We start from the raw sequence: 26,587 nt of genomic DNA, 5'->3' as shown, positions 1-26,587 counted from the left end.
GAATATCAATCTTAAAACCTTGAAGATTAAAAAAATGTTAACTGTGGGCCAAGTGCAGTGGCTCACGCCTGTAATCCCAGCACTTTGGGAGGCTGAGGCGGGCAGATCACAAGGTCAAGAGATCGAGACCATCCTGGCTAACACAGTGAAACCTCGTCTCTACTAAAAATACAAAAAAATTAGCCGAGCATGGTGGCGGGCGCCTGTAGTCCCAGCTACTTGGGAGGCTGAGGTAGGAGAACGGCATGAACCCGGGAGGCAGAGCTTGCAGTGAGCCAAGATCGTGCCACTCTGGGCAGCAGAGCGAGACTCTGTCTCAAAAAAACAAAAAAAAAGTTAACTGTATTAGTCCTAGTTCTTCAGAGAAACAAATCCAATAAGATAGATAGATAGACGATAGACAGATAGATGATAGATAGATAGATAGATAGATAGATAGATAGATAGATAGATAGACAGATATAAAAGGAGATTCATTATGGGAATTGGCTCACATAGTTACAGAGGCTGAGAAGTCCCACAATATGCCATCTGCTAGCTGGAGAATCAGGAAAGCTGATGATGTGTGACTCTAAAGGCCAGAAAAGCCAATGGTGTAACTCAGTCAAAGGCTGCTAGTCTGGGTCCCAGAGTCTGAAGGTCTGAGAACCAAAAGCTCCAATGTCCAAGGGCAGGAAGAGATGGGTGTCCCAGCTCAAGAAAGAGGAAACCCCTTCCTTCATCCACCTTTTTGTTCTATTCTGGCCCTCAACGAATTGGATGACACCTGCCCACGTTGGTGAGGGTGGATCTTCTTTACCCAGTCCACTGATTCAAACGTTAATCTATTCCCAAAACACCCTCACAGACACACCTAGAAATAATATTTTGCCAGTTATCTGGGAATCCTTTAGCCCTTTTGGGTTGATGTCTGAAATTAACCATCACATTAACTAATATTCACTTTATTAAGTCAAAACATCTCAGTGTGTGCATTGTGTTTAAAGGACATCTTAATACAGGATCATCTATAGCTCTGCACATGGCTCAAACTGGGCATGAACATAGAATTCCCACACAGTGAACTTAACATAAGATATTCAGAACAGAGGGGCCATGGCCAGCCCATTAAATTCCACAATTCATTTGCTAAGAGCCTAGAAATCTTATGAAGCACCTAATTTCTTTTTCTGAATAATAATAATATTTCCATTTCTAGAAAAATCTATTAATTCTGTGATCCAGATTACTGTTTCTAACATAATGCACCTATTAAATGAAACATAGTCCCTTGAATCTTTGGCAATAAATGCACCATCTGAAAGGAAATACCAATTCTAAACTCCAAGCCAAAGGAACATATGCAATGCTTACATTGTTTTTGGTATGCTTCAATTCTACCTTTTAAGTTATGAAGCTGTTTGAAATTCTAGTTCACACATAAGAAGATTCTAGGCCATCAGTGCAGCAAATACAGAATTTCCTCATCATTTAGGAAATTAAATCTATTAACATTTAGGGAAAAAAACTTTATATGAGCATTTGCCTGAAATTCAGGTGGTATTGAAACATTTCCTGCAATGAGAGAGAAAATAACACAGAAAATAAATGCTGCTTTAGTGACTTAAGTAATAATTGCATGCCGTCCCCTGGAGTGTTTTCTGTCCTTAGGAGCAGAACCCTATTGCACTTTGTTGGAGTGGAATGAGAGTAGGGATAATATATAAATACCTTTTAAAGAGGATCTAATAAAGTCACAAATAACAGAGTCAAATGGAGTACTAAGGGAAAGTAGGATCATTCAGACTAATCCTGTAACTTTGAGATTGACATCGAAAGCTTCAGATGTTTAAGTGGTTATTTCCTTGTTTGTGAAAGGTTTTGTTGGGAAAAGGCCCCCCAAAATCTGGCCATAAACTGGCCCAAAAAATGGCCATAAGCAAAATCTCTGCAGCACTGTGACATGTTCGTGATGGCCATGACACCCACGCTGGAAGGTTGTGGGTTTACCGGAATGAGGGCAAGGAACACCTGACCTACCCAGGGTGGAAAACCACTTAAAGGCGTTCTTAATCCACAAACAATAGCATGAGCGATCTGTGCCTTAAGGACATGCTCCTGCTGCAGATAACTAGCCAAACCCATCGCTTTATTTCAGCCCATCCCTTTGTTTCCCATAAGGAATACTTTTAGTTACTCTATAATCTATAGAAACAATGCTTATCACTGGCTTGCTGTTAATAAATAAGTGGGTAAATCTCTGTTTGAGCTTCTCAGCTCTGGAGGCTGTGAGACCCCTGATTTCCCACTCTACACCTCTATATTTCTGTGTGTGTGTCTTTAATTCCTCTAGCGCTGTTGGGTTAGGGTCTCCCCAACCGAGCTGGTCTTGGCAGGTTTGAGGGTGGCTGGAGACATGTACTAGAAACAATATACTGGACTGTCTGAATCATGAGTTTGATCCAAAGCGGTGCTTCCAATGTATATGTTTCCATGTGTGTCATGCATAAACATACACACACATCATTATGCTAATATATACATGTCTAGGCACTCACATGTACAACTGTGCATATCAATATTATTTTCTAAAGAGAAGAATTGTGTTTTCTTTTTCAAGATGTGAGAAATGTCCATTTTTTGCTTTTGCCCCAAATTTTTACTGTTTATAAAGTTTTACTACAGCTAAGGAATTTTGCAATGCCTGAGTAATAAGACAGATTATTACTAGCCATACTAACTTGGAAACCCCCTAGATGTTTCTCTTAAAACTTTGGTTTGGGGTGGTCAGATGTGGAAAGAAAAGGGGAAGAAATGCAGAAGATGTGAAAAGGAGTCTGATGGGAAAGTATGCCTTTCTGTATTCTACTACTAACTAAATCATGTTTCTCAAACTTTGGATACTTTTTTTTCCAAACATGCTTCTCAAACTTTAGAAACTTGAGAAGCTTTTTTCAAAATATACGTGTACAGCCCACAACACTGGAGATTCTTTCATGGAGTCTGGGGCAAGAATCAGCAAACTTTTTCTGTGTAAAGATTAGAGAGTAAATATTTTAGACTCAAGGCCATATAATATTTGTCAAAACCACTCAGTTCAGCCGTTGTAGGGCAAAAGCAGCCATAGACCATATGTTAACAAATGAGCATGACTGTGTTCCAATAAAATGCCATTTACAGGACAGATTTGGCCTCCAAGCTGTAGTTTGCCCACCTGTGGTGTTCAGTGACACCCAGGAATACTATACTTGGAAAAGTGTTATGCATCTATAAAATTCTCATTAAAATTTATTTTTAAAACTTACCAAAAACTCAACAGGAAAGTTATAAAGGGTTAGAATAGGCAGTTCCAAAACTAGAGAGAGATGAGAGAGAGAGAGAGAGAGACAGAAGGAGGGAAGGAAGGAAGGAAGGAAGGAAGGAAGGAAGGAAGGAAGGAAGGAAGGAAGGAAGGAAAGGAGGGAGGAAGGAGGGAGGGACCGGGTGCAGTGGCTCACGTCTGTAATCCCAGCACTTTGGGAGGCCAAAGCAGGTGGATCATCTGAGGTCGGGAGTTCGAGATCAGCCTGGCCAACATGGTGAAACACCATCTCTACTAAAAAATACAAAAATTAGCTGGGCATGGTGGCAGGCGCCTTAATCCCAGCTACTTGGGAGGCAGAGGCAGGAGAATCATTTGAACCCAGAAGGTGGAGGTTGCAGTGAGCAGAGAAAAAGCCATTGCACTCAAACCTGGGGGACAAGAGAGAGACTTCTCTCAAAAAAAAAAAAAAGGAAGGAATGAAGGAATGAAAAGAAAGAAAGAAAAAGAAAAAGGAAGGAAGGAAGGGAAGGAAGGGAGAAAGAAAATGATTTTATAAAGGAAGGAAAAAATGCTAAACATAATTTTTTAAATGCAAGCTAAAACAAGACACCATCTTTTACCTAATAAATTGGCAAAAACTAAAAAGTCAGATAAGACGCAATTTTGTGAAGCCATGGGGAAGCCAGCACCCTTAGTATGAGGATAGGATAATACAACTTCAGAGGGCAGTTTGGACACAAATTATAAAATTACAGGGCACAAATATTTATGTATAAAGAGGGATTATAATAGCAATATATTGGAAACAATCTAAAAATCCTCCAAGAGGGACATGGTTGAAAAATTACCGTATATCTGTTAAGTCGTATGCTACATAAGCACTATAAAGAATAAGGTAGACCAGTATGCTGACCATAATATTGGTTAACCCCCCAAAACTATTCTCACTTTTTCTTCGGTGGGGCTGCCCCGACTTAAGATGACTTTTTTCAAACTTTTTGCAGCTAAATGTAGCCAATTACCTGAGTTCTCACCAAATGGAAATGAATGAAATTGGTATGTTCATCTTCCAGTTCCTCTTCTGAAAGATGTTTACTTTCAAATCACCTTTCCTTTTTCTATGTCTTTAGCAGCTGTGGAAGCTATGATTTGAAGACAATTGCTTGACTTCACTCAAATGCATCCCTGAATGATTTCCTGGAACAGAACCTGCACTGTACTGCACTGTAATATGTGAGAGAAATAAATATCTATCCTATTTAAACCAGGGCATTTTGGCTTCTCTTTGCAGCAGCTGGGCACTTGCCCTAAATAATACAGAAATGTGCATAGTGCTGCCATAACTGAAACCTAAGATGTGGCATTGGTACAATGAGAGAATCACAGGTGATGGGGACGTGGGTATTTCAGGCTAAAATGTTGACCACCCTTGTTCTATTGTCAAAAAACATTTGGCAAAGCTATTACCTACAATAACTGGAGAAGCAGATCGCTTCTCCTATTGCTTCAAATGAAGCTATTGGAAAGAATCCAAATGTCAATCTGTGTTGGCTTCTCTTTGCTGTCTATAAACAGGTTTTTAAAAAAGTGATCAACTAAGACAAGAATTGACAAGTTTGCAAGCAGAGCTGGAAGAAAGTAGAGAGCATCCAAAAAGAAGAGACTTGTTAAGGGTTGAAAAGCCAACTGATACGTAAAGAGGCTTATAATAGCACTTAATTGAACCAGAGCTGCAAGTGATAAAACCAGTACTCACGCCCTTTCTCAAAGGCCTGTTAAGACTCCTCAGCCACACAGAGAGGAAGCCTCAGGCAAAGAACAAATCCAGGGTGTTGCCTTTCTACCCAAGCCAATTTTTTTTTTTTCAGATAGCTTCAAGGTACCTACGATTCAAACAGGAAAGAAAAGTGTGTCAAACCTACAAGCCAGGAAATAGGTCAGCCTGAATATCCACGTGCAGAAAAGAACATTGAGAGTGGTCAGTGGCCCAGGTACTGACTGGAAGTAAGCAGACCCAAAGCCAACTGAGTTCTTAATCAGAAGCAGTGTTTTGGTAAAAAACCCTGGTGAATAAGACATTCAATAAGTCACATGAGTATGATGGGCTCAGAAGGCAAACCCAAATCTGGATGTGTCTCCCCCATTGAGGACAAATCACTGCCCCCTCCAAGATGTTCACGGGCTGCTTCCTGCCATTGACTGACGGGACACTCAGGCCTGCAGCAGCCAAGTCAGCCTCAGTGAGAGGAGGCCTATTCTTCTGAGCCATGTGGGACCCCTGACCTTACTGCACAGACATTTGCTCACGAGCACATTGAGAAAATGCCAGAGTGTGAAACTGAGTAGGTCACATGTCCACAGAACAGGTCACCTTGTCCATTGATCCTTGACATCCTGCAGTTTTATTTGTGCTGTAAGGTTGGATCCAGTCTTGCTATGCTCCTCCTGCTTCATGGTTTAATGGTCCAGAGAAGACCCATTCATGATGAGAAGTATGGGCCACATGGTCACAGGGCACCCCAGGGTCAGGCTTTTAGCCTCCCTCAGAGACCACTAATAAGCCAACAGATGTTTTCCAGAATGAGACTAGTTATTTCCTGAAGAGGGTAGGATTTTAGTCCAAAACCCTGGAAGCCATGGCCGTGTGTCTACTGTCAGGGTTTGCCACCAACTTCCTGCTTGGTCTCCTCTCTAGTGTTACCTCTTCCATCTAACTTTCATATTACAGCCAGAGTGATGTTTCTAAAACTGAAATCTGGCCCTGGCTAAAATCTGATCATTAATTTGTACATCTTTAATAAGCATCAATTATGTGCCTGTTCTAGGTCTCGAGAATTCAGCAGGGACAAAGTAGAGGGCCCTTGTTTTATCCTTTGAATCTGTAAAAGAAGCTAACCTCATAATGTGACATGAGGGGCACTAGCCCTGCAATGGCGGCAAAATTTCACCATTAGACTTTCATTCTTTGAACAAAGCTGTTTATCTTATTCTAAAATGCAAATGTGCTTGAGCACAGTAAAGCTTTGTCATTCATGGTCATAAACAATTTTGGGTAAATTTATTTATATGATGAGTTCCAATATGACAACCCAAGCTTATCTAGATGAGTTTTGTGGCATCCTTGATAGGGGCTTTTATAGACAGGAAAAATTACTAAGGGGATACTGTGATTTTCTTAAATTAATACTTTATTTATTAAAATTACAAATTTAAATTCCTCATTATTCCTTGAATTTTTAAGTCCAACTCATAAACCTTATTACTTTGTTTATGAATCTGGCAACTTTTAACCATCACTTTTAAGTGGCCTTTTATACTTTAATTGAATTAGTTTAAATATTTAAAAACTTGATTTTTTTTACCCTTTTTGAATACTTCAATTGTGCAACAAAAAAGTTCAAGAACTGTAAGATATCTAAGCCTTTACCCTACCTGGAAACTAACTAATTGACTTGTCAGTGTTTCTTAGATGCTGGCAGAAGACATGAGACTCTTGGATCAGAGACAAAGGGCTTTAATACTCACAGCAATAGCTTTAACCAGAGTGTCATTCTTTTGCATCAGTCCACTTTTTGTTAGGTCTGGAATAGGACCCAAATACAATGTGATGAATAAATTTAATGTGGTACCCTAAATGGGATCCAGGTACAGAAAAGAAAAAAAAGGACATTAAGTAAAAACTAAATAAAGCATGGACTTTAGTTAACAATAATGTATCAATTAATTTAGTTCATTATTTATGACAAATGTACTATACTAATATAAGATTTTAACAATAGGGGAAACCAGGCGTGGGGTATATATATGAGAACTCTCTGTACTATCTTCATAATTATTTTGAAAATTTGAAAATATTCTTAGTTTTTTTAAGTTGAGCAAGTGAAAAATATTAGATAAAACGACAATACATATTGTACTTGAATTTAGAAACATTGTGAAAATTATAGCCAAATGACTGAAGTTTGGGAACACTGGTTTTGAGAATAACAGGGATGGCTGAACTATGCTGAACCCTTGATCCTTCCCACCAGTGTGACAGGAAGATGTGTGATTACACCACAGTACTATCTACCCACAGCTTACAATTTCAGATGGTTATTCCACAGCACTAAGTAGAAGACTCTTTCATGAACCATCCTGAGAATGGGCAGGCACTAACCACCAAAAGCAGAGCTGAAACTTCTCTGAGAGTGAGACATGTCTTTCTTTAGAGGAACTGGGGCTTCTTGGTGGCTGGGTTCTCAGGGGATTTCTTAGTGGAGAGTTACTATAAACATCTAAGCTCTGGTTTACCACAAAGGTTTGGCCCTTCAGACACCTGGTGTCTTTTAGCAGCACCCTCAGCAAACATGAGTCCTTGTCTACAGATAAGACCTCAGGCTCAGAGAATAGGGATTGGAAGCTGAGGATCACACCACTGATGGCCCATTCTCAGGAGCCCTCTACCATCTCTCTTCTCACCCTGTTCACAATCACCTAGGGATTGTAGCACTTGTCCCCCTCCCCAACTTCAACACCCAAGGTCCCAAAGTGATAGACAGAGTGCCAACATTCCTTATCTGTAAAATAGAGGATAACAGGAGAGAGATGGTCTACATCAGCAAGTCTGGAGTTTTAGCCTATGCAATAATTGTCTGGAAGGCTTGTGAAAACACAGGGAACTGGGCCCCACCTCCAGAGTTCCTTTTTCATAGAGTCAGTAATTTGCATTTCTAACAAATCCCAGGTGACACTGATGCTCTGGTTGGGAGCTGCACTTTGAGAACCACTGGTTTAAATGATCTCAGGGGCATCTTTCAACTTTCATAGTCATTAAATCCATGTGTCTCAGACTCATGTGATCATGAGACTCACCCAGAGTCTTGGTTAAATGCACAGATCAGCAGGCCCCACCCCAAACTTTCTGACTCAGAATTACAAGATGAGCAGCCCAGGTGATTCTTATGATCAGAGGAATTTGGGAATCTTTATAATACCAAAAGCCAGCGCACCATCAGTGAATACGGTCTTTGAGCAGGACATGGTGAGAAATTGAGGGCATTCAAACATGGCACACAGGCCCAGGAGAAATGAGTAAAGCTGAAGGAGGGGGTGAGAAGGGATCAACAGGGTCAAAGTTTTGCCCTGACCCTTGCCCATGGCACGCATAGCACTGCAAAAATCATCTCAACCACTGGACATGAGCCTTTGCTACTCCACTGTCCATTAGATGGGGAGGGAAGGAGGCTCAAGGGGATACAAATGGCCAAGGTGATGCTGGGTCAAAGGGCAACTTCAGAAGGTCATAAATGTAACATTCATTGAGTGTTTTGGCCTTAAATTCATTTATATGATGAGTTCTAATATGACAGCAGCCTAAGCTTGTCTATGAGTTTTATGGCATCCTTGACAGTCGCATTTGTACACAAACAGGTCAACCCACGAGCATGGTGTACTGGGAGGGCTGGAAGGGCTAGAATGGCAGTGCCCATCAAAATACAGCTCAAAGACCCCAGTCATTTTCCCAACAGAAAACAATACCCAATTAAGCTGGAAGCAAGAAAGGGCATAGTGTCTGTAGTTAAGGGGTTGCTTGCCCGTGGACTTCTGAAATCCTGTAATTCTCCCTGTAATACCCTCATTTTGACCATTTTGAAGCCTTTGGGGGAATACCATATGGTACAGGAGCTCAGGGCAATGAATGAGGTCGTGATCCCAGCCCACCCATTAGTGGCAGATCCACGTACTCTTCTGACTCGAGTGCCGGGGAATGCAAAATGGTTTTAAGGTTTTTTGGTCAGATGCCTCCTGGGTTGGACTACATACAAGAAGGTCATCTACATGTTGGAGTATACTCCCACTTTCTAATTGAAAATTCCTCAGATCCCTTTCTAGGGCTCAGGCAAAAAAAAAAAAAAAAAGGAGCTGTCCCAAAAGCCCTGAGGGAGTAATTTCCAAGTGTATTGTTTTGTTTTTCTCTGCCATTCAAAAGGAAAAAGGTATTGAGACTCCAGGCTCAGCGGGCTTAAGTGGTGTGACCAATGTCAGAGGCTATAATAGTTGCAGAATAAGGACTAAAACCTCTTCTAATCCCTAGACCAATGAGTTTCTTCCAGAGAGTGTTATTTGAAGGTAACGTCATCCATTTCGTTAAACTATTTTACCTATGAGTCCCAGAAAATGAAATTCCGTCATTAAGATATTCATTCCTTTGAGCCTTTTAACATCAGTGTCAGATGTCTCTTTTAAGATAAAAATATTTTAAGCCTCTATCAACTAATACATCAATGTGGTTAAACAAAGATGTAGCAGAAAGCTGGGCCTAATGTAGTAGTTAATGAGAGGCATGCCACCACCATAACCCCAACCTGCCTGGCAGGAAGTCGAAAGAGTAAGAGGAGAAAGAATCATGAGTAGGGAGACAGGCCTTCTCAATGGGTGTTTGGGAAGTTCCAGGGCCAGGAGGGCATTATAACTCCTGCTTCTCAATTTTGCCTATGTAGTCCCCAGAAAATACTAGTTGCTTTGAATTAAACAGAAACAGTATTATCTCAACTGAAAGCAATCTGAGGCTTTAGTTTGGCCTAAATTCTTCTCTTACAGACTTCTTTTATTTTTTTTAAGACAGAGTCTCACTCTGTCGCTCAGGCTGGAGTGCAGTGGCACAATCTCAGATTACTGCAGCCTCCATCTCCCGGGTTGAAGTGATTGTCCTGTCTCAGCCTCCTGAGTAACTAGGATTACAGGCGTGAGCCACCACGTTTGGCTAATTTTTCTATCTTTATTAGAGACGGGGTTTCACCATGTTGGCCAGGCTGGTCTTGAACTCCTGAACTCCAGTGATCCACTCACCTCGGCCTCCCAAAGTGCTGAAATTACAGACATGAGCCATGGTGCCCAGCCTCCTCTAATAGATTAAGGGGCAGAAAGAATCTTCTTATAGAGAAAGACACTATCCCGTGATGGCAACCCAAGATGCCCTATCTAAAAGAATGATTTCAAAATGACACTATCCAAAAAAGAAGGCTTAGTCAGGATAAGAATCAAGGCCTTTTCTCTTTTTTCTCTGAAAGTCAGGATTCTGGGCAGTGTCATTTTTCCCTGGTGATAACCCTCCTTTCTTTCCTGCCACGTCATGGGGCTGCTTTAAACCAGAGACCCAAGGATAAGGTTGTTAGAAAATTGGAGAGTGGCAGTGAAAGAGCAGATGCTCCCGCCTTATAAATTAGCAGAAGATTATGCACGGCCAGCTGTACCATGGAACTGCCCAGGTTTTATACCACACCGTGATCCTCTGTGTTTATCATATGGTCCAGCATCTGGTCAATTCTGTCCCCAGCTCCCATATATCTATTCAAATCAAGCTTCGGCTGGGGATTTATTTATGTATATAGCTTCAATCTCAATCAGGATCCCTCCTGAGGTCTTAACTTGCAACACGGCAGGGAATTAACCCAGCAAGTCCTTTGTATCACAACTCTAAGTTACTCATTCACCTGAAGGTAACCTTTTTTTTTTTTCATGCAAGGTTTAGGAAGTGAGGGGGTGGCCAAATGAGGAAGATATGTATGTGTGACGAGAGAGTCAGAGAGAGAGAGAGAGAAGCCTCCAAGTGTTTATACATCAACAAAACCAGACATGGATACTCTGAAATAAGGTAAAAGTAACGTACTGTATGCCTTGAATAAGAAAAAAGGGAAAGAGATTTTCCTGTGTTTAAAAAATCTTGGGCTAAACCTGAAGTTATATAAAAGTTTCCTAAGCATTTTTCTCCTTTGTAACAAGATAGTATTTCCAAGAAGAAAATCCACTAATTGATTTCTTGGCATTGAGTGTTTGCCTGGGGTGTCTTTTTCCATTTATTTTAACAGGTAGATATATGGGCCTGTCATTGTGGTTAGGCCAAAAGAAAGTTCTCATTCTCCTCTCACACCATGCATCAAAACAAATTCTAGATTAACCAAAGAATTAGACTGAAAAAACTCAAACCAAAAATAAACTTAGAAGAAAGCACTTTGCAGGCCGGGTGCGGTGGCTCACGCCTGTAATCCCAGCACTTTGGGAGGCCGAGGCGGGCGGATCACAAGGTCAGGAGATTGAGACCATCCTGGCTAACACGGTGAAACCCTGTCTCTACTAAAAATACAAAAATTAGCCAGAGAGCCAGGTGTGGTGGTGGGCATCTATAGTCCCAGCTACTCAGGAGGCTGAGGCAGGAGAATGGCGTGAACCAGGGAGGCGGAGTGCAGTGAGCCGAGACCATGCCACTGCACTCCAGCCTGGGCGACAGAGCAAGACTCCATCTCAAAAAAAATAAAAAAAGAAGAAAGCACTTTACTATTTTTCTGATCTCTGGAAGGTAAATAGCTTTTAGAATATAGAAACAATGGAAGAAGTCATAATGAAAAAAGACTAATAGACTTTATAACCCCATAAAGCTGTAAATTTTATGAGTCTTAAAATTTAGCATAAACCAAATTAAAAGACAAAAAGAGAGGTGTAAAGTTTTTTGCAACAGTTAATGAATAAAAAGTTAATATTCTTAGCATATGAAGAACTCTTATAGATCAATAAGAAAAACATGAAAACAATAAATAAATAGGAAAAAGACATAAGCAGTTTTATAAAGGGAAATACAAATTTTGGTAATTTTTTATTGTTCAATTAATTAGTAATTTTAAAACTTAAAGCAAAATACTATTCACACCTATCAACAGAAAAGGGATTAAATTATAATACTCATTTTGCAACACAAACAAAAAGTAGAAAAAATCTTAAGGCTCTTCAACTATTGGGAAATGGGAAGGTACATAGCTATGTCCTTTAAGCTGTTAGGTTCTCATTAAAAATCATTCTTGGCGGCTGGGTGCGGTGGCTCACACCTGTAATCCCAGCACTTTGGGAGGCCGAGGTGGGTGGATCACCTGAGGTCAGGAATTCGAGACCAGCCTGGCCAACATGGTGAAACCCTATCTCTACTAAAAATACAAAAAATTAGCTGGGCATGGTGGCACGCGCCTGTAGTCCCAGTTACTCGGGAGGCTGAGGCAGGAGAATCGCTTGAACCAGGGAGGCAGAGGTTGCAGTGAGCCAAGATTGCGCCACTGCACTCCACCCTGGGTGACAGAGCGAGACTGTGTCTCAAAAACAAAAAAACAAAAAAAAAAAAACATCATTCTTGGCCAGGTGCAGTGGCTCAGGCCTGTAATCCTAGCACTTTGGGAAGCCAAGGCAGGAGGATAGCTTGAAGCCAGGAGTCCCAGACCACCCTAGGGGACATAGCAATACCCCTACAAAAAAATTTTTTTAACTAGCTAGGCATGATGGCACACACCTGTAGTCCTAGCTACTCAGTAGGCTGAGACAGGAGGATCACCTGAGCCTAGAAGTTGGAGGCTGCATTGAGCTATGATCGTGCCACTGCACTCCAGCCTGGGCAACAGAGTGAGATCCCGTCTCAAAAAAAAAAGTCCCTTTTATGAGAGTTTCAAATAACAGAGGAAGGAGGAATAAATTCACATTTCTGTGGCCTAATTCATGAAGTGCCTTTTCCATATAGATTTGATCTGTTTGAAATGACAAGTCTATATCAAGCTTTCTAGTCAGTGTCTGGCAAATGGAAATTTTTTCAAGAATCTTAGCTATTATTGTAATTCTTATATAGTCTTTGAAACAACTCTGTAAAGTTGCCGTTGTTTTTCCCATTTCATCAGAGTGAGCCAAAGTTCAGAAAGTTCAAGCCCAAGGACATCTACCTGAGCTGCTGTGGTGAAGCCACGCAGTCCATGTTCTTCCCAGCCACATTTTGCTGCCAAAGGCTAAATAATTCAGCAAGATTCATCACAAAATTCAACAATATGCCCCATGAAAAATCTGTCTTCGACTGTTTGGAGGGTGGGCATTTTGTCCTTTAGGACAGATATTGAAAGAGGCTTCTGGATATCACTCTGATATGAAGCGGCTATTTTAGGATTTCAGGATGATTTCTTATAAGAAAGAGCTGGTATACTAACAGTAATTAATCTTTTACTTGCCAGAGGGAAAGAAATACTTTACAATGTCTTCATTATTTTTTCCTATTTCAGAGTTTTCCAATGTCTGAAGGCAAATATGCCTATCAATTGCAAATCACAAATTCTCAACCTGGACTCTGAGGCATGGTATTGAGTAGAATGCTATAAATATGACCCAGCTGTTAACTTTGCATGTTACAAACAGAGATGTTTCATAATGGCTCATCAAGTGACTTATAAACATCAATGATGCAAGACAGAATAACTTGTTTTTTTCTACTATACCATGATGTTAAATACATCTTCTGTATTAGATTTTGTTACCTACATTCTCCCTTTGTTTATTTTTGAAAAATAAAATCCTTTTTATGGTACTCCAGACATACATTTGCATATCAGAGAGTTGGTAAAAAGAAAAAAAGAGAGAGTTATTTGGTATAAAAAGGAGTCATTAAAGACTTTAACATCAATTTGGAAAATTCAAGAATTAAGGCAGAAGACTATCATGCAAAAAGCAGTAAGTTCAAAGTAAGAGTTTAAAAAAGCAAGGGAGATTGTGGGAAATGAGCTGCCACCTTTTTTTCCCAGATTTTTATCTCATTTTAACTTTCTTTTAGGTACAATGGATGCAGACATGTCTGTAAACATTACTAATTTGAAATTACTCCTCTTGAATTTGAAGCGTATTATTTGATGGAATACTGTAAATGTGCTCACAGATGTTTCCTCACATGCTTCAAAACATAGGTGTCCCAACATGGTCAGCCAAGTGGCTTTTAAATATTGATGATGCAAGAAAAATTACCATGTTTTTATATAATTGGGCACCATTGAGGTTTTGCAAGGCTTCAGATTTTACTGGTAATAAAAGCTATAAATTGAGTCTTCCCTTACTACCAATCTCTTCATCTCAGACCTGCCCCAAAACCCTACTTGTCTGACATAATAAACAGTTGAACCCCAGCATAATTAACCAATTTTATAAGATGGTTTTATGATCAACCTAGAATATAGATGATACAAATGTCTTCCCATGTTACAGGGTGGCAAGCCGATTTTCATCAGACATTTATGAGGAGATCATTTTCTCTGACCACTTCATTCCCAAGGCCAGGGCTGATGGGAGGTAGGGTAGGTGGTGAGGGAGACAGTGAGGAAATGGAAGTTCTATCACCAAGAAAATTTCCTGGTGAGTGTGATATCAGGCAGTGAGAGAGTTTGAGAAGCAAAGAGCAGTGGTTTGCTTTTATTTTTTGGTTTTTGTTTTGTGGTGGTGGTGTGGGGTTTGTTTTTAGTGACAGGCTTTAAATCACAAAGAAACATTTCAAAAGTAAATGACATTTAACTTGAATAACTGGACAAATGATTCTTCTAACATCATCTGAAGAGAAGCTATTTACCTTCTGATGCATTGGTGAGGGGCCATATGGTGTTGTTATGCCATTTATGCATAGGAATTCCTGTTTTCATACTGAAGTATGTACACACACACATATATACAGTGTTAGTTCTACTGCTCTCTCATCAGTGGATTTCAGAGATATTTCCATTTAGTCTCATTGAAGGTCTGGTGTGGGAGGATATGAGAGAGGAAGTCACTGGGCCCATGGGAAACTGAGTTTGGGTGCAACCTCTGAAGCCAGAAGAAGGGGAAGCCACCAGTAACCTAGTTATCTCATCCAGGCAACCAGTGATGATTTACATGCACAGCTGTCCTCAGACAGCCCTGCTGCATGGCTGACAATTACAGGATGGTTGAAACCCTGCTCTCTGTGTCTAGTAAATATTATTTCTATTGTCATGTCAAAACACTAGGCCTTTTTTCAATTATTCAGCTTTTCTTTTACAATCATCGATTGTACTGTGGAAAAAACCTCAGGAGAAAACTCTATTATATACCAGCCAGAATCCTTTAACGAGTAATTTTGCACATTTACCATAAACTTAAACTTGAATCTTACACTCTTCAGTGTTTTGGGTTGCAAACAACAGTAGATTTTCTGGCTAACCTGAATTTGTTAGAAGGATATAAATAAGCTCCCAGCGTTGTTGGGAAAACTCAGCATACTTAGGCAGAAACGAAGGTAGGCAAAGCCCCGCCAACATCCTGCAGGGACCTGCTGATCCCGGGTGCTTGCTATTACGCCACTAGCCTACACCTGACATCACAAATAATATGCAAGTGGCTGAGCCTTTGAGATGCCCAGCCACGCTTTGGTCACATGACCATGCTCCAGCAGCCAGGGGTCAAAGAGTCGAAGAAAGATCGTCCCCCTTTGACTTCCATTGCGGCGAGGGACAAGCCCTGTCCCTCACCCATCTTCAGATTCTCCCCAAACAGGAAGGATACTGGGCATCCAGAAGCACAAAATGTTTAGGGCTTGGTGGTCGGTGCTTTAACTACATTTCCTCACTTAATTATGACAACAGCCGCGTCACTCCTGTCTTAAAGATGAGAAATCAAGGCTCGAAAAAGACAAGCAATTGCCCATCATGGTGAGATCTAAGATATTGAAGCCCCATTGCACACATCACAGAAATCTTACATTATGATTAATCTCACTCAAATGTTAGGTGTCTTTGAGTGTATTTCCTTAGAAAAGTTGTGATCTGAATGTGGTAACACTCTTGACCAAAACACAGGTTTCATTAAAAAACAAAACAAAACCATTTCTTCAAACACAGCCGTGTCATAATAAGAGTCTTTAAGAATAAGTTAGTGCCTGTCTATTCCATATTACAAGCTGAAAGCATAATTTCTTTAAGCTTAGCTGTCAATTTATCTGAAAATATGGAAGGAATAACATATTCTTAGTTTACAACAAGGAATTTATGGCTTAAAGATGCTTAGAGGGGACTGTTTTTTTGCTTCTGCGTAGAACCACAGCACGCTACTGACCTCCTGTGGCCATATTTCAAGGTACTGTCTTCTATTTAAAAGGAGCTTCTTCAAAGAGAACAGCAATTGCAGGAGAGGTCCCCCGGGTGTTTGATCCTGATGTGTCATCATTGAGAAACTAGTTGTTGTTCTACTCAAATGTGGAATTACTGAGCCAGTAAGTCCAACTGTGCTCTGCCCAAAAGCTACAGTCTTGTTCCTAATAATTTGCCCAAGTCTTTGCCCACAACATAACTTCTATATTTTTAAAAAATATTCACTGAGCACCTATTGGGTTTGGGGCATCTGACAAACACTTTACCTTGTCTCATTTAATCAATGCAACAACTATATTATTGCCATTTTATAGAGAAATTGAAGTTCAAGGAAGATCAGTAATTTTTCCCAAAATCAGAGGCACAAAATGGGATTTTGATCAAAGGATTCAATCCCCTTCCCCATCTTCAAGGTCTGTAATATGGTTTGGATACATGTCTCCACCCAAATCCCATGTCAAATTGTAATCCCCAGTGTTGGAAGTGGGGCCTGGTGACAGATGATTGGACAATTGGAGCGATTTCTTGTCAGTAGTTTCGCAGCATCCCCTTGGTGCTGTTCTCATGATAGTGAGTGAGTTCTCATGAGATCTGGTCATTTAAAAGTGTGCAGCACCTCCCCACTTCCTCTCTCTTGCTGCTGCTCCAGCCATGTAAGACTCCTGCTCTCCCTTTGCCTTTTACCACAATTGGAAGCTTCCTGAGGCCTCCCCAGAAGCAAAAGCCACCATGCTTTCTGCACAGCCTTGCAGAACCATGAGCCAATTAAACCTCTTTTCTTTATAAATTGCCCAGTTTCAGATAGTTCTTGATAGTAGTGCAAGCACAGACTAAAACAGTCTTCTAACATCACCCATGAAGGCTTCCGTGACTGCTTGGCACACAGAGATATCACCTCCTCAGGACTTTAGTACTTGGCTCATACTCCTTTATATTATTATTTTTATACGTGTAGTAAAAACCTTGGTCAAAGGTCAGATGGGAGGGGTGTTAGTGTGTAAATCTAGAACAAAAAATTCTCCCAGGGTCAAAATCTGCACATGTAGTTGTGAAAAATAATGATGGCTCACATTTACCAGCTGCTAGCTGTGAGCCAGAGATGTCTCGATGTGCTTAACATGTTCTAAATGACTGAGCATGTGGCTTCAAGGCTTAGCTGGTTACAGCGGTTGTCTAGGAAATGACTGAATCTTTTTTACACCAACTCTGCAATGTGGATGTTACTAATATCCCTGGTTTATAGATGAGAAGACTGAGATGTTAAATCTGTTGTTTTCAAAGGTTGAATTGTGTCTCCACAAAATTCATATGTTAAAGTTCTAACTCCCAGTACCCCAAATGCGGCCTTATTCAAAAATATGATGGTTGCAGATGTAATTAGTTAAGATGGGGTCTTATTGGAGTAGAGTGGGCCCTTAATCCAATATGACTGGTGTCCTTCAAAAAGAATGCTATGTGAAAACACAGACACACACACACAGTGATTATACCATGTAATGGCCAGACACGGTAGCTCATGCCTGTAATCCCAGCACTTTGGGAAGCCGAGCCAGGCAGATCACTTGAGGTCAGGAGTTTGAGACCAGCCCCACTAACATGGTGAAATGCTGTCTCTACTAAAAATACAAAAATTATCCGGGCATGGTGGTGGGTGCCTATAATCCCAGCTACTCGGGAGGCTGAGGCAGGAGAATCGCTTGTACCCGGGAGGCAGAAGTTGCAGTGAGCCGAGATTGCACTACTGCACTCCAGCCTGGGCGACAGAGAGAGACCCTGTCATACACACAAAAAAGACTGGAATTATGCTGCTGCAAGCCAAAGAATGCCAAAGATTGCTGGCAAACCACGAGAAGCTTGGAGTAAGGCCTGGAACAGAGTCTCCTTGGTGGCCCTCAGAAGGAATCAACCCTATTAACATCATGGTCTGACTTGCAGCCCGCAGATCTGTGAGACGACATATTTCTGCTGTTCTAAGCCACCCAACTTGTGGTGCTTTGTTACAGCAGCCCCAGGAAGGTACAGTGCTTGGCTAAGATCTCAGAGCCACCAGGTGGGGAAGCACAAAAGCAGACCCCAGCAGTATGGCATGAGAGCCAGTGCTCTTCCCTGCACTGCACAGGCTGGAGAGAAACAGGAGGAGGAAGGAGGTAAGTGATTGCAGAAATATCTCACATCCCTTGGGAGGGTGGCCAGTACCTAGAGCCAGGGGGAAGGGCTTTTATACAGAATCCCCACACTGCAGAAGCAGTCACTGTGTGTGTCCCAGTCTCCAGTTGTACTTCTTATCACCCAGGATTCCGGGTAGTCATACTGATATGATATTGAGCAACATACCATCTGCAGCAACAACAGGGGCAAGGGGAATGGGTGCCCATGCCTCCTTTGACCTTTCCATGAGCCCTGTCTTCCAGCTGTCACACACCCACAGCAATAAACAGGGTGCTCCAAAAAGGTTAGTGAGGTTTTTTAAGATTAATTGTTTTATTGGCATTTAATTGCTGTGTTAGTCTATTTGCATTGCTCGAGGAATACCTGAGGCTGTGTAATTTGCAAAGAAAAAAAGGTTTATTTGGTTCACAGTTCTGCAGGCTGTACAAGCATGGCACCAGCATCTGCTCCTGGTGAGGCCTCGGGGTGGTTCCAATCATCACAGAAGGCAAAGGGGGAGCATGCATGTCACATGGCAAGAGGGGAGCAGGAGAAACGGGGAGGAGGTGCCAGGCTGTTTTTAAACAACCAGATCTCATGTGAACTCATAGAGTGAGAACAGACTCATCACCATGAGGATGACACCAAGCCATTCATGAGGGATCCATCCCCATGATCCAAACACCTCCCACCAGGCCCCACCTCCAACATCGGGGGTCACATTTCAACATGAGAGGAAAAACATTTGGAGGAGAAAAGCAACCAAATTACATCCATTGCCATAAAATAAATTGTACATATTTACAGTGCACAATTTGATAACTTATGACATCAGCACACATCCATGAAACCATCACCACAACTAAGATATTGAATGCATCCATCATCCACAGAAGTCTCATCACACCCCTGTGTACTCTGTCCCACCTCGCCATCCTACCCTCCTCTCTGTCCACAGGCAATCTTTCACTTGTCTGCTCTCTTTCACTATGGATAGCTTGCATTTTATAGAATCTCATATCAAGAGAATCATATAGTATATTCTATTTTTGTCTGGCTCCTTTAACTTGGCATAATTATCTTGAGATTCATCCATGTGTTGTGTTATATCAATAGTTCATTACTTTTTATTTCTGAGTAGAATGCCACCATACGAGTATATCACAATGTGTTTATCCATTCACCTGTTGATAGGTACTTGGATTGTTTCCACTTTAGAGATATTACAAATAGTCTCGTCCACACATTGTGACAGACTCTTTGTATGGACGGATGCTTTTATTTTTCTTGGGTAAATAGGAGTGACATAGGAGTGAAAGGCTGGGACCTATAGTAAGTGTATTTTCACTTTTTAAGGAACTGTCAAATGATTTTCTGTTGTGATCGTACTGTTGTATGTTCCAATCAAGAGTGTGACAGCGTTCTGGTTGCTCCATCTCCTCTTCACCAATATTTGATATTGTCCATTTTTTTTTAGATTTGTGCCACTGTAATAGAGGTATATCTCATTGTGGTTTTAATCTGCATCACCCTAATGATAACGGTATTCGTGGAGCATCTTTCGGCTTGCTTATTTGCTATACCTTCTTCAGTATATATAACTCTATCTCTCACCTATGAGACGTTTAATTTTGGTGACTCTCTGAACATTTCTTCTTAGTTTTTGCCCTCTGCATCCCCAATTCTTGACTTCTATGCAGATTTAAGCTCTACTTATTACCTTGATGTTTTCCATCCTATATAATATTGAGATGAAGATGCCTCCTTGGTGGAGGCAGTGAGACCAGGAGAGACATTTGAGGTTCTTTCTTGCTTTCCCCACATTGCCCCATGATAATCCCTGCCTGGTCTAGAGTCCAGGGGTGTCTTAGTCTGTTTGGGCAGCCATAACAAAGTACTACAAACTGGGTAGCTTATAAACAACAGCAATTTATTTCTCCAAGTTCTGGAGGCTGGGAAGTTCAAGATCAAGGCATTGGCAGATTCCGTATGTGGTGAACACCCTCTTCCTGGTGCACAGATGGCACCTTCTTGCTATGTCTTCATATAGCAGAAGGGGGAGGGAGCTTTCTGGGGTCCCTTTTATAAGGGCACTAATCTCATTCACAAGGGCTTCACCCTCATATTTCATCGCCCCCTCCAAAGGCCCTGTTGCCTAATGTCATCACACTGGTGACTAGGTTTCAACATGTGAATTCGGGGGTGGCACAAACATTCATTCCATAGCAAAGAGGTTCCATGTGAACAGCACAAAAGTACAGCTCAGGTGAAAAGCTGACAAAAACAGGTGCAGACAACTCCCCTGTCTAAACCACTAGGTTGCTGAGGAGTCCAGAGGAGCTTGTCTCCCTCCAAGGCACCTCCCCACTAAGGGTTAAAGATGGAGACCTGGCCTGGCCTAGAGTCACCTGGTACACAGGCAGCAGTCGGGAGTGGACCAGGCTGCGCCCTTCTGCCTGGGCATGAGGCCTCCTGCATTTCATCTGCTCCCCTCTCCTTAAATCACGAGGTGCCCACCCTACGCCTGGCTTTTGACCCTTCCCCAATCCACAGCACCAAGTGGTGTATACAGAAACGAACTACTAAATCATGATTCAAACTTTTAGGGACCACTCCAGAATAAAAGAAGAAAGGTATTTATAGGAAACCAAAAACCAAAAATGAGTAAATAACTTCTTCAAAAGACAATTCCATCACTGACATTAATGGGAACTGCTTCTTGGGTCCTTGAGATGTTTACTTCTGCAAGGTATCAGAACTCTTGGCCACCCTCCAGCCCTTTCATTACCTGACTCGTCAATTTAGAAAGACTAACGAGGCATTCTCAGCTCTGCCTGGCCTTTCTTCCTCTTGGGAGTGAGCCAGCCTGAGAGTGCGGGAGCTCTTCTCTGCTTTTCTGGAGGAGGGGTCTGTCTGCTGCAGGCCAGTGCTGCTGGGGCAGAGTGAGTAAATGGGCCCGGCTGCCAGTCAGAGAGTAAGCCCCTTTGATTCTCATGCTAAGCTGCATCCTCCACCTTAGACTCCCGTTAGTAATAAAGGTGAGACTTTAGCTTCAATATTTACCTTTTTCTTTCATTTTTCAACTAGTTTAGAACTTATTCAAAAAAAAGGGGAGGTGTGCATTATCTCCTGAAGACCTCAGCAACTGGCAGCCACAATACAATTTTCAGTCAGTCAGTGGAGGCTCAAAAAATCCTTTTTCTCCTGCTAACTGTTGCATACCCTCCATCAGCTACTCAAAATCCTTTTTTTTTCCTGCTAACTCTTGCATAGCCTCCACCGGCTACTCAAAATCCTTTTTTTCCCTGCTAACTGTTGCATAGCCTCCACCTGCTATTCAAAGTGTGGTCTGCAGAAGAGCAGCGTGGGTATTACCTGGGTGCTTGGGAGAAATGCACAGTATCAGGCCCCACCTCACACAGCAATGGAATCTGCATTCGAACCACATGCCAAGGGGATTCATATGCATGAGAGCTAGTAGCAAATATTAATAAGAAGGTAAGTGTTGCTCTCTCTCAGCTCACTCTTAACAGTTATTTTATTAAACATTTATCATTTTATTTAGCTTTTTATTTTTAGATAGTATTTTACAATAAATTTGTTCACAAATTTGTGCAATAGTGATAAAATGTATCAATATAAAACCAATTTTGCAAATACATAGCACAACTTATATTTTTAAAAAGAAGGTAAAATAAAAACTTTTTAAGTAAAAATTGTATTTTTTATAATAGAAAAATAGATAAGCTATATTGAGCACATTTGTGTTCATTTCTTTCTTTCTTTCTATTTTCTTTTTTTTTTTTTTGAGATAAAGTCTTGCTTTGTTTCCCAGTCTGGAGTGCAGTGGCATGATCTTGGATTGGCTCACTTCAACGTCCACTTCCCAGGCTCAAGCAACCCTCCCACCTCAGCCTCCCCAGTAGCTGGGACTAGAGGCACGCACCACCATGCCCAGCTAATTTTTGTTTTGTTTTGTTGAGATGGGGTTTCGCCATGTTGCCCAGGCTGGTCTCAAACTCTTGAGCTCAAGCAATCCAACTGCCTTGACCTCTCAAAGTGCTGGGATTACAGGCATGAGCCACCATGCCCAGCCTCATGTTAGTTTCTACAGTAGTAGTGTTCAGTATCTTGGTTTCCAGTCAATAGTTTAGTTTTGCTATAACATATAGGCCTTCAGAGTTTATTTAAGTAGAATAAAACTTTCATATGAGCCTTTCTGACAGCCTTGTTTTCATTTTTGGTCAATGATTTACTGCTTTTGACAGAAAAGGGTGAGAGGCAAAGGAAGACGTGACTCATTTATTTCTTCTTTTCAACAGAATGTCAGCCTGAGTCTTACTGCACACATTTCAAGATCGTATTGTTGTGAGATAATAATACCTTAGGCTTATGTGGTATGCTGCCATTAGCAAAGCGCCTTCCCAGGTATTATCTTGTCTATCCTCCCACTAACTGGCAAGGTGGGTGACATTAAGCTTTGCCTACTGATGAAAAGAGTCAGGCATACTGAGGTTGACTTGCCTCAGAATACATGGTGGGAAATGGCGAAGCAAAGATAGACAAACCATTCCCCCAACTCCAAGCCCAGGGTCAGCTCCAGACTCAGCCTAGATGGCATTAGTCTGAATGTGCTGTGTTCCACAGAACTAGAGTCTGGATATGGAAATAATAGAAACTAATATTGGCACTGCTTTAAATGCTTTACCTTTGAAAATTTACATCTATTAACACACTTAATTCTCATAACAACCCAATAATCTAGTTATTTTTATTATTCTCCTTATATAGATCATATATATCTATATATGCCCTCAGTTTCAGCTTCTAAGAAAATTTATCAATTATCAGGTAAAAAAATGGCTTCTATTAAATTTCAAAACACAAGTCTCCTTATTACTAGGATAAATACATGAGTCTGGGTTATAAATGACTTCAGACGTCAAATGACATACATTTAGTAGTATAATGGTAAATGTCTCAAAACCAGATTTCTGAGGAGAAAAGTCCCCAATTTGTAGATTTTGCCAATTTCTGAAGTATAAATATTTCTATTTTGGTCGATTCTAAGCTATCCACTTGACATCACTGCACCTGGAGATGGGAAGCGATGTGTACATTCCGCTTTTACAGGCTGGTACTGACACATCCCTGGTGCAGAGCCACAGACAGTCTATTTTCAGTTGGTATTCTTCACACTCTTCAGTAAACCCAAACGGTTTTGCCTTTGCCTTTTAAAATATTTTTGCAAGAATTTTGAACACTCTTTTGAGTTACTGTTAATTTTTCCAAATGTTTTTCTGGACTGGATTATGCTAATAGTCCCTACACAGCAGGAAGACCTGTATATAAGCCTCTAAGCCAAGGGTTGGCAAACTCTTATAATGCGCCATACATAAATATTTTAGACTTTGCAGGCCACTTGCTGTCTCTGTCACATATTCTTCGTTTTTATCATCCTTTTAAAAGACAAGATTTATTCTTAGGCCAGGGGCTGTTTAAAAACAGTTGGGTTTGTCCTACAGGCTGTAGTTTGCTGATCCCTGATCTAAGCCCTGGGAACACTGATCAGGGAGAGAAATGAGACTGGTCATGTGGTCAGACACTCCTGATTTTACTGTTTATGTGATATTGGCAGGTCAAAGCCTTCTACCTTACAGGATTATAAAGGTTAAAGTAATTAATTCCTTTGAAAGTTCTTTCTAAAGTATAATATTTCAAGAACCATGGAGTATCATTGATAGCATTATCCTGAATTGCTCACGAACTACTGCAGTTACAATCCCAGTTTAATCAAAACCTTTACTCAGAGCAGAAAGTACCAGCTCTTTAAATATCTGGAAGCCCAACAGCAGGGGAGGACTGAAACAAACTCAGATCATTATTATAAACCCCTCTATCTGTTCTAAGCCACTCCTGGGAAATATCCAGGCCTTCTGGCAATGGATAACAATTTCAACCTTAGCTCTATTTCACATTGTTCAGGTCTCTGACCCTGCAAAGATATTGTCTGATATAGAGTAGGTGCTCAATCTATACTGAGTGAATGAATGATCATTTTCAAGTACCTGAGTGCTCACCTTCTATGAATCATAGCTTCCCCAAGCCATGGTCCCAAACCATATGCTCAATCAGCCACCTGCCCAACCCAACACTAAGAGACACCCTCTCCATATATGGAGATGTTTTTCCTCACTCAGTGGACAGGAAAGAAATGAAGAGAATGCCATGTGGGTAAATAATCTGCCTCTCCATAATTATTGAATAGATGTCTGAATTTCTTTATAGCTGAAAAATCAACATATTAGGATCGGAATTACATCCTAATGAAATTTAAGAAGAAAAGGAAGAAATTCCACTTTTGAACTGACTGAGAAACCTAATCTGACAATTTAAGGACGAGTATTCCAAGAGCTGGGTTGATAGGAGGACACCCCAGGAAGAGGTGATCTTAAGCTTCACTTCCATCCCATTCTTATAATATGTAATGTTTAGACAAGACCTCCTTATTTACAAATGCTTTACAATAATTTATTAATCTGGTACACCTTATGACCTAGCATTTTAGAGTACTTTAAAAACAAAGATTAATTACTCTAGGGCTTAGCAAAAAGGTGGAGGCGTAATAAATGATTCATTAAACTTTGTGGGGTTGAGGAAGGCTTTATCCATTTCACAGAGAGAATATTTCCTATGTCTGGGCAGCACAGAGGGATCCAGGAAAGGTCACATAAGAATTCAAAAGCAGAACTGAATGAGAACAAATGCATTTTCATTTCTTTACAAAAATATTTTAATGTGAAGTTCCCTTTTACTCTTATAGCTTTTAAACATGATTTCTATTTGAACATACTTGGTAGAATTTTGAATTCTAATGTCAAAATCAAAACCCATTTCTCTCAATTCTACTTCCTCATTCATCTCTCACCTTCAATCTGCAATATGAGCTGGGATCCTGTTTTTAACTTCAAGTGGGGACAGTTCCATCTATCTGAAATGTGTTTATACTTTGTGTTTTAAGTAAATTTTCTAACTATATGGCCAGTGTGTTAAAGGATGATAAAGAAAGGTAGATTTAAGAATCTAGTTTCAGAAAGAGAATGCAAACTTTATTTTCAGATGCCAGAGAGGAAAAAAAGTACAACTATACTTTTTACTTCTATCAGTACATTAGGAAAAAGAAGTTGGCAATGAATTACAACATTTGTTAGAATCCAAAGAGACGTCATAAAGTCCTACTGAAAATAGAAGTGAGAGTAATTAGGAAAGCTGGTTTTGAAATAAACAGAAAGTGATCTTCATAGAGCAATTCAAATTGGTCGATATGTTTTTACAGAGTTATGAAATCATGCAGCATTTAGTTGTATTTCACTTTTATTCATCTCTGGTGAGGCCATATCCTAACCAGGACATTCATTCCAGTAAAAGAAGGATGGAAATACTACAAATTTGTGATATTTAAACCAAATGAGTGAAAAAAGAATTTTTTAAAAATCAACTCTGGTGGATTAAAAGAATTAAGCCAAAATGATTCTAACTTCACATAATGGATCCTAAAAGAACTAGTGATGAATTGCTATCACCAAATCTCACAGTATAGATAAAAACTACACTGGTGCTCATCTTCACCATGCCATTGTGCAATTAAATCATAGTAACTGTCAGCTCTTTAAATGACTTTGTTCCCTATGAATTAGCCATTTTGTGGATTATCTGTAACAACACTTTCATCCCAGACCCATTTTCTTCTCTGCTATGCTACATGTTATGAAGCATCTTCCCTGACATCCGTTGGTATCTTCAAAAGAATAAATTTCTTTAGAAAGTAATCTAAGCCTAATGTTTTCCAAACTTCATTGCAAGCAATACTAGTCCTAGGAGATGTTCTGTAAAAAAGAGGTTCATCATCAAATAGATTTGAGCATAACTGCTTCGGATTCCTCTCTTGATGATTCACAATGCATTTTGGATTTTAAAATTTCTGAAAAGTCTTGCAGTAAAGAAACTCGCTGGAGCTTAGCCTGGGGGCCCGTGCCTGTAGGCGCAGCTATCTGGGAGACTGAACTGGGAGGATTGCTCCAGCCTGGGAGTTCCAGGGCAGCCTGGGCAGGACCCTATCTTAAACAAAGAAAAGAAAAGGAAATGTATTTGACCATAAATAATTTTATTTTTTCTTTTTTTCATCTAACACTAGTTAACATTCCACAGAATTAATGTTCACAGGCATACT

At 40.6% G+C, this 26,587-nt stretch overlaps 7 annotated features.

Annotated features, from left to right (window-relative positions):
* Positions 4,539–4,598: an enhancer, noted in NCBI's record as "active region_25132". NCBI's record gives its function as "activates an Ori minimal core promoter by ATAC-STARR-seq in GM12878 lymphoblastoid cells {active_cell/tissue: GM12878}" and the evidence as "EXISTENCE:reporter gene assay evidence [ECO:0000049][PMID:35858748]".
* Positions 12,685–12,854: an enhancer, noted in NCBI's record as "experimental_90356 CRE fragment used in MPRA reporter constructs". NCBI's record gives its function as "activates a minimal promoter by MPRAs in K562 erythroleukemia cells, with activity observed for both the introgressed and non-introgressed 6:137419087 variant alleles {active_cell/tissue: K562}" and the evidence as "EXISTENCE:reporter gene assay evidence [ECO:0000049][PMID:34662402]".
* Positions 13,450–13,619: an enhancer, noted in NCBI's record as "experimental_90355 CRE fragment used in MPRA reporter constructs". NCBI's record gives its function as "activates a minimal promoter by MPRAs in K562 erythroleukemia cells, with activity observed for the non-introgressed 6:137418322 variant allele {active_cell/tissue: K562}" and the evidence as "EXISTENCE:reporter gene assay evidence [ECO:0000049][PMID:34662402]".
* Positions 14,533–14,672: an enhancer, noted in NCBI's record as "active region_25131". NCBI's record gives its function as "activates an Ori minimal core promoter by ATAC-STARR-seq in GM12878 lymphoblastoid cells {active_cell/tissue: GM12878}" and the evidence as "EXISTENCE:reporter gene assay evidence [ECO:0000049][PMID:35858748]".
* Positions 16,080–16,329: an enhancer, noted in NCBI's record as "active region_25130". NCBI's record gives its function as "activates an Ori minimal core promoter by ATAC-STARR-seq in GM12878 lymphoblastoid cells {active_cell/tissue: GM12878}" and the evidence as "EXISTENCE:reporter gene assay evidence [ECO:0000049][PMID:35858748]".
* Positions 16,350–16,399: an enhancer, noted in NCBI's record as "active region_25129". NCBI's record gives its function as "activates an Ori minimal core promoter by ATAC-STARR-seq in GM12878 lymphoblastoid cells {active_cell/tissue: GM12878}" and the evidence as "EXISTENCE:reporter gene assay evidence [ECO:0000049][PMID:35858748]".
* Positions 21,227–21,407: a silencer, noted in NCBI's record as "fragment chr6:137410449-137410629 (GRCh37/hg19 assembly coordinates)". NCBI's record gives its function as "represses an EF-1alpha promoter that drives an FKBP-Casp9 reporter gene in an ReSE screen in K562 erythroleukemia cells {active_cell/tissue: K562}" and the evidence as "EXISTENCE:reporter gene assay evidence [ECO:0000049][PMID:32094911]".

This window comes from Homo sapiens, chromosome 6 (genome assembly GCF_000001405.40).
Source record: "Homo sapiens chromosome 6, GRCh38.p14 Primary Assembly".
In the NCBI taxonomy this organism is placed as follows: domain Eukaryota; kingdom Metazoa; phylum Chordata; class Mammalia; order Primates; family Hominidae; genus Homo; species Homo sapiens.
This window is presented reverse-complemented; position numbering and strand designations above follow the sequence as displayed.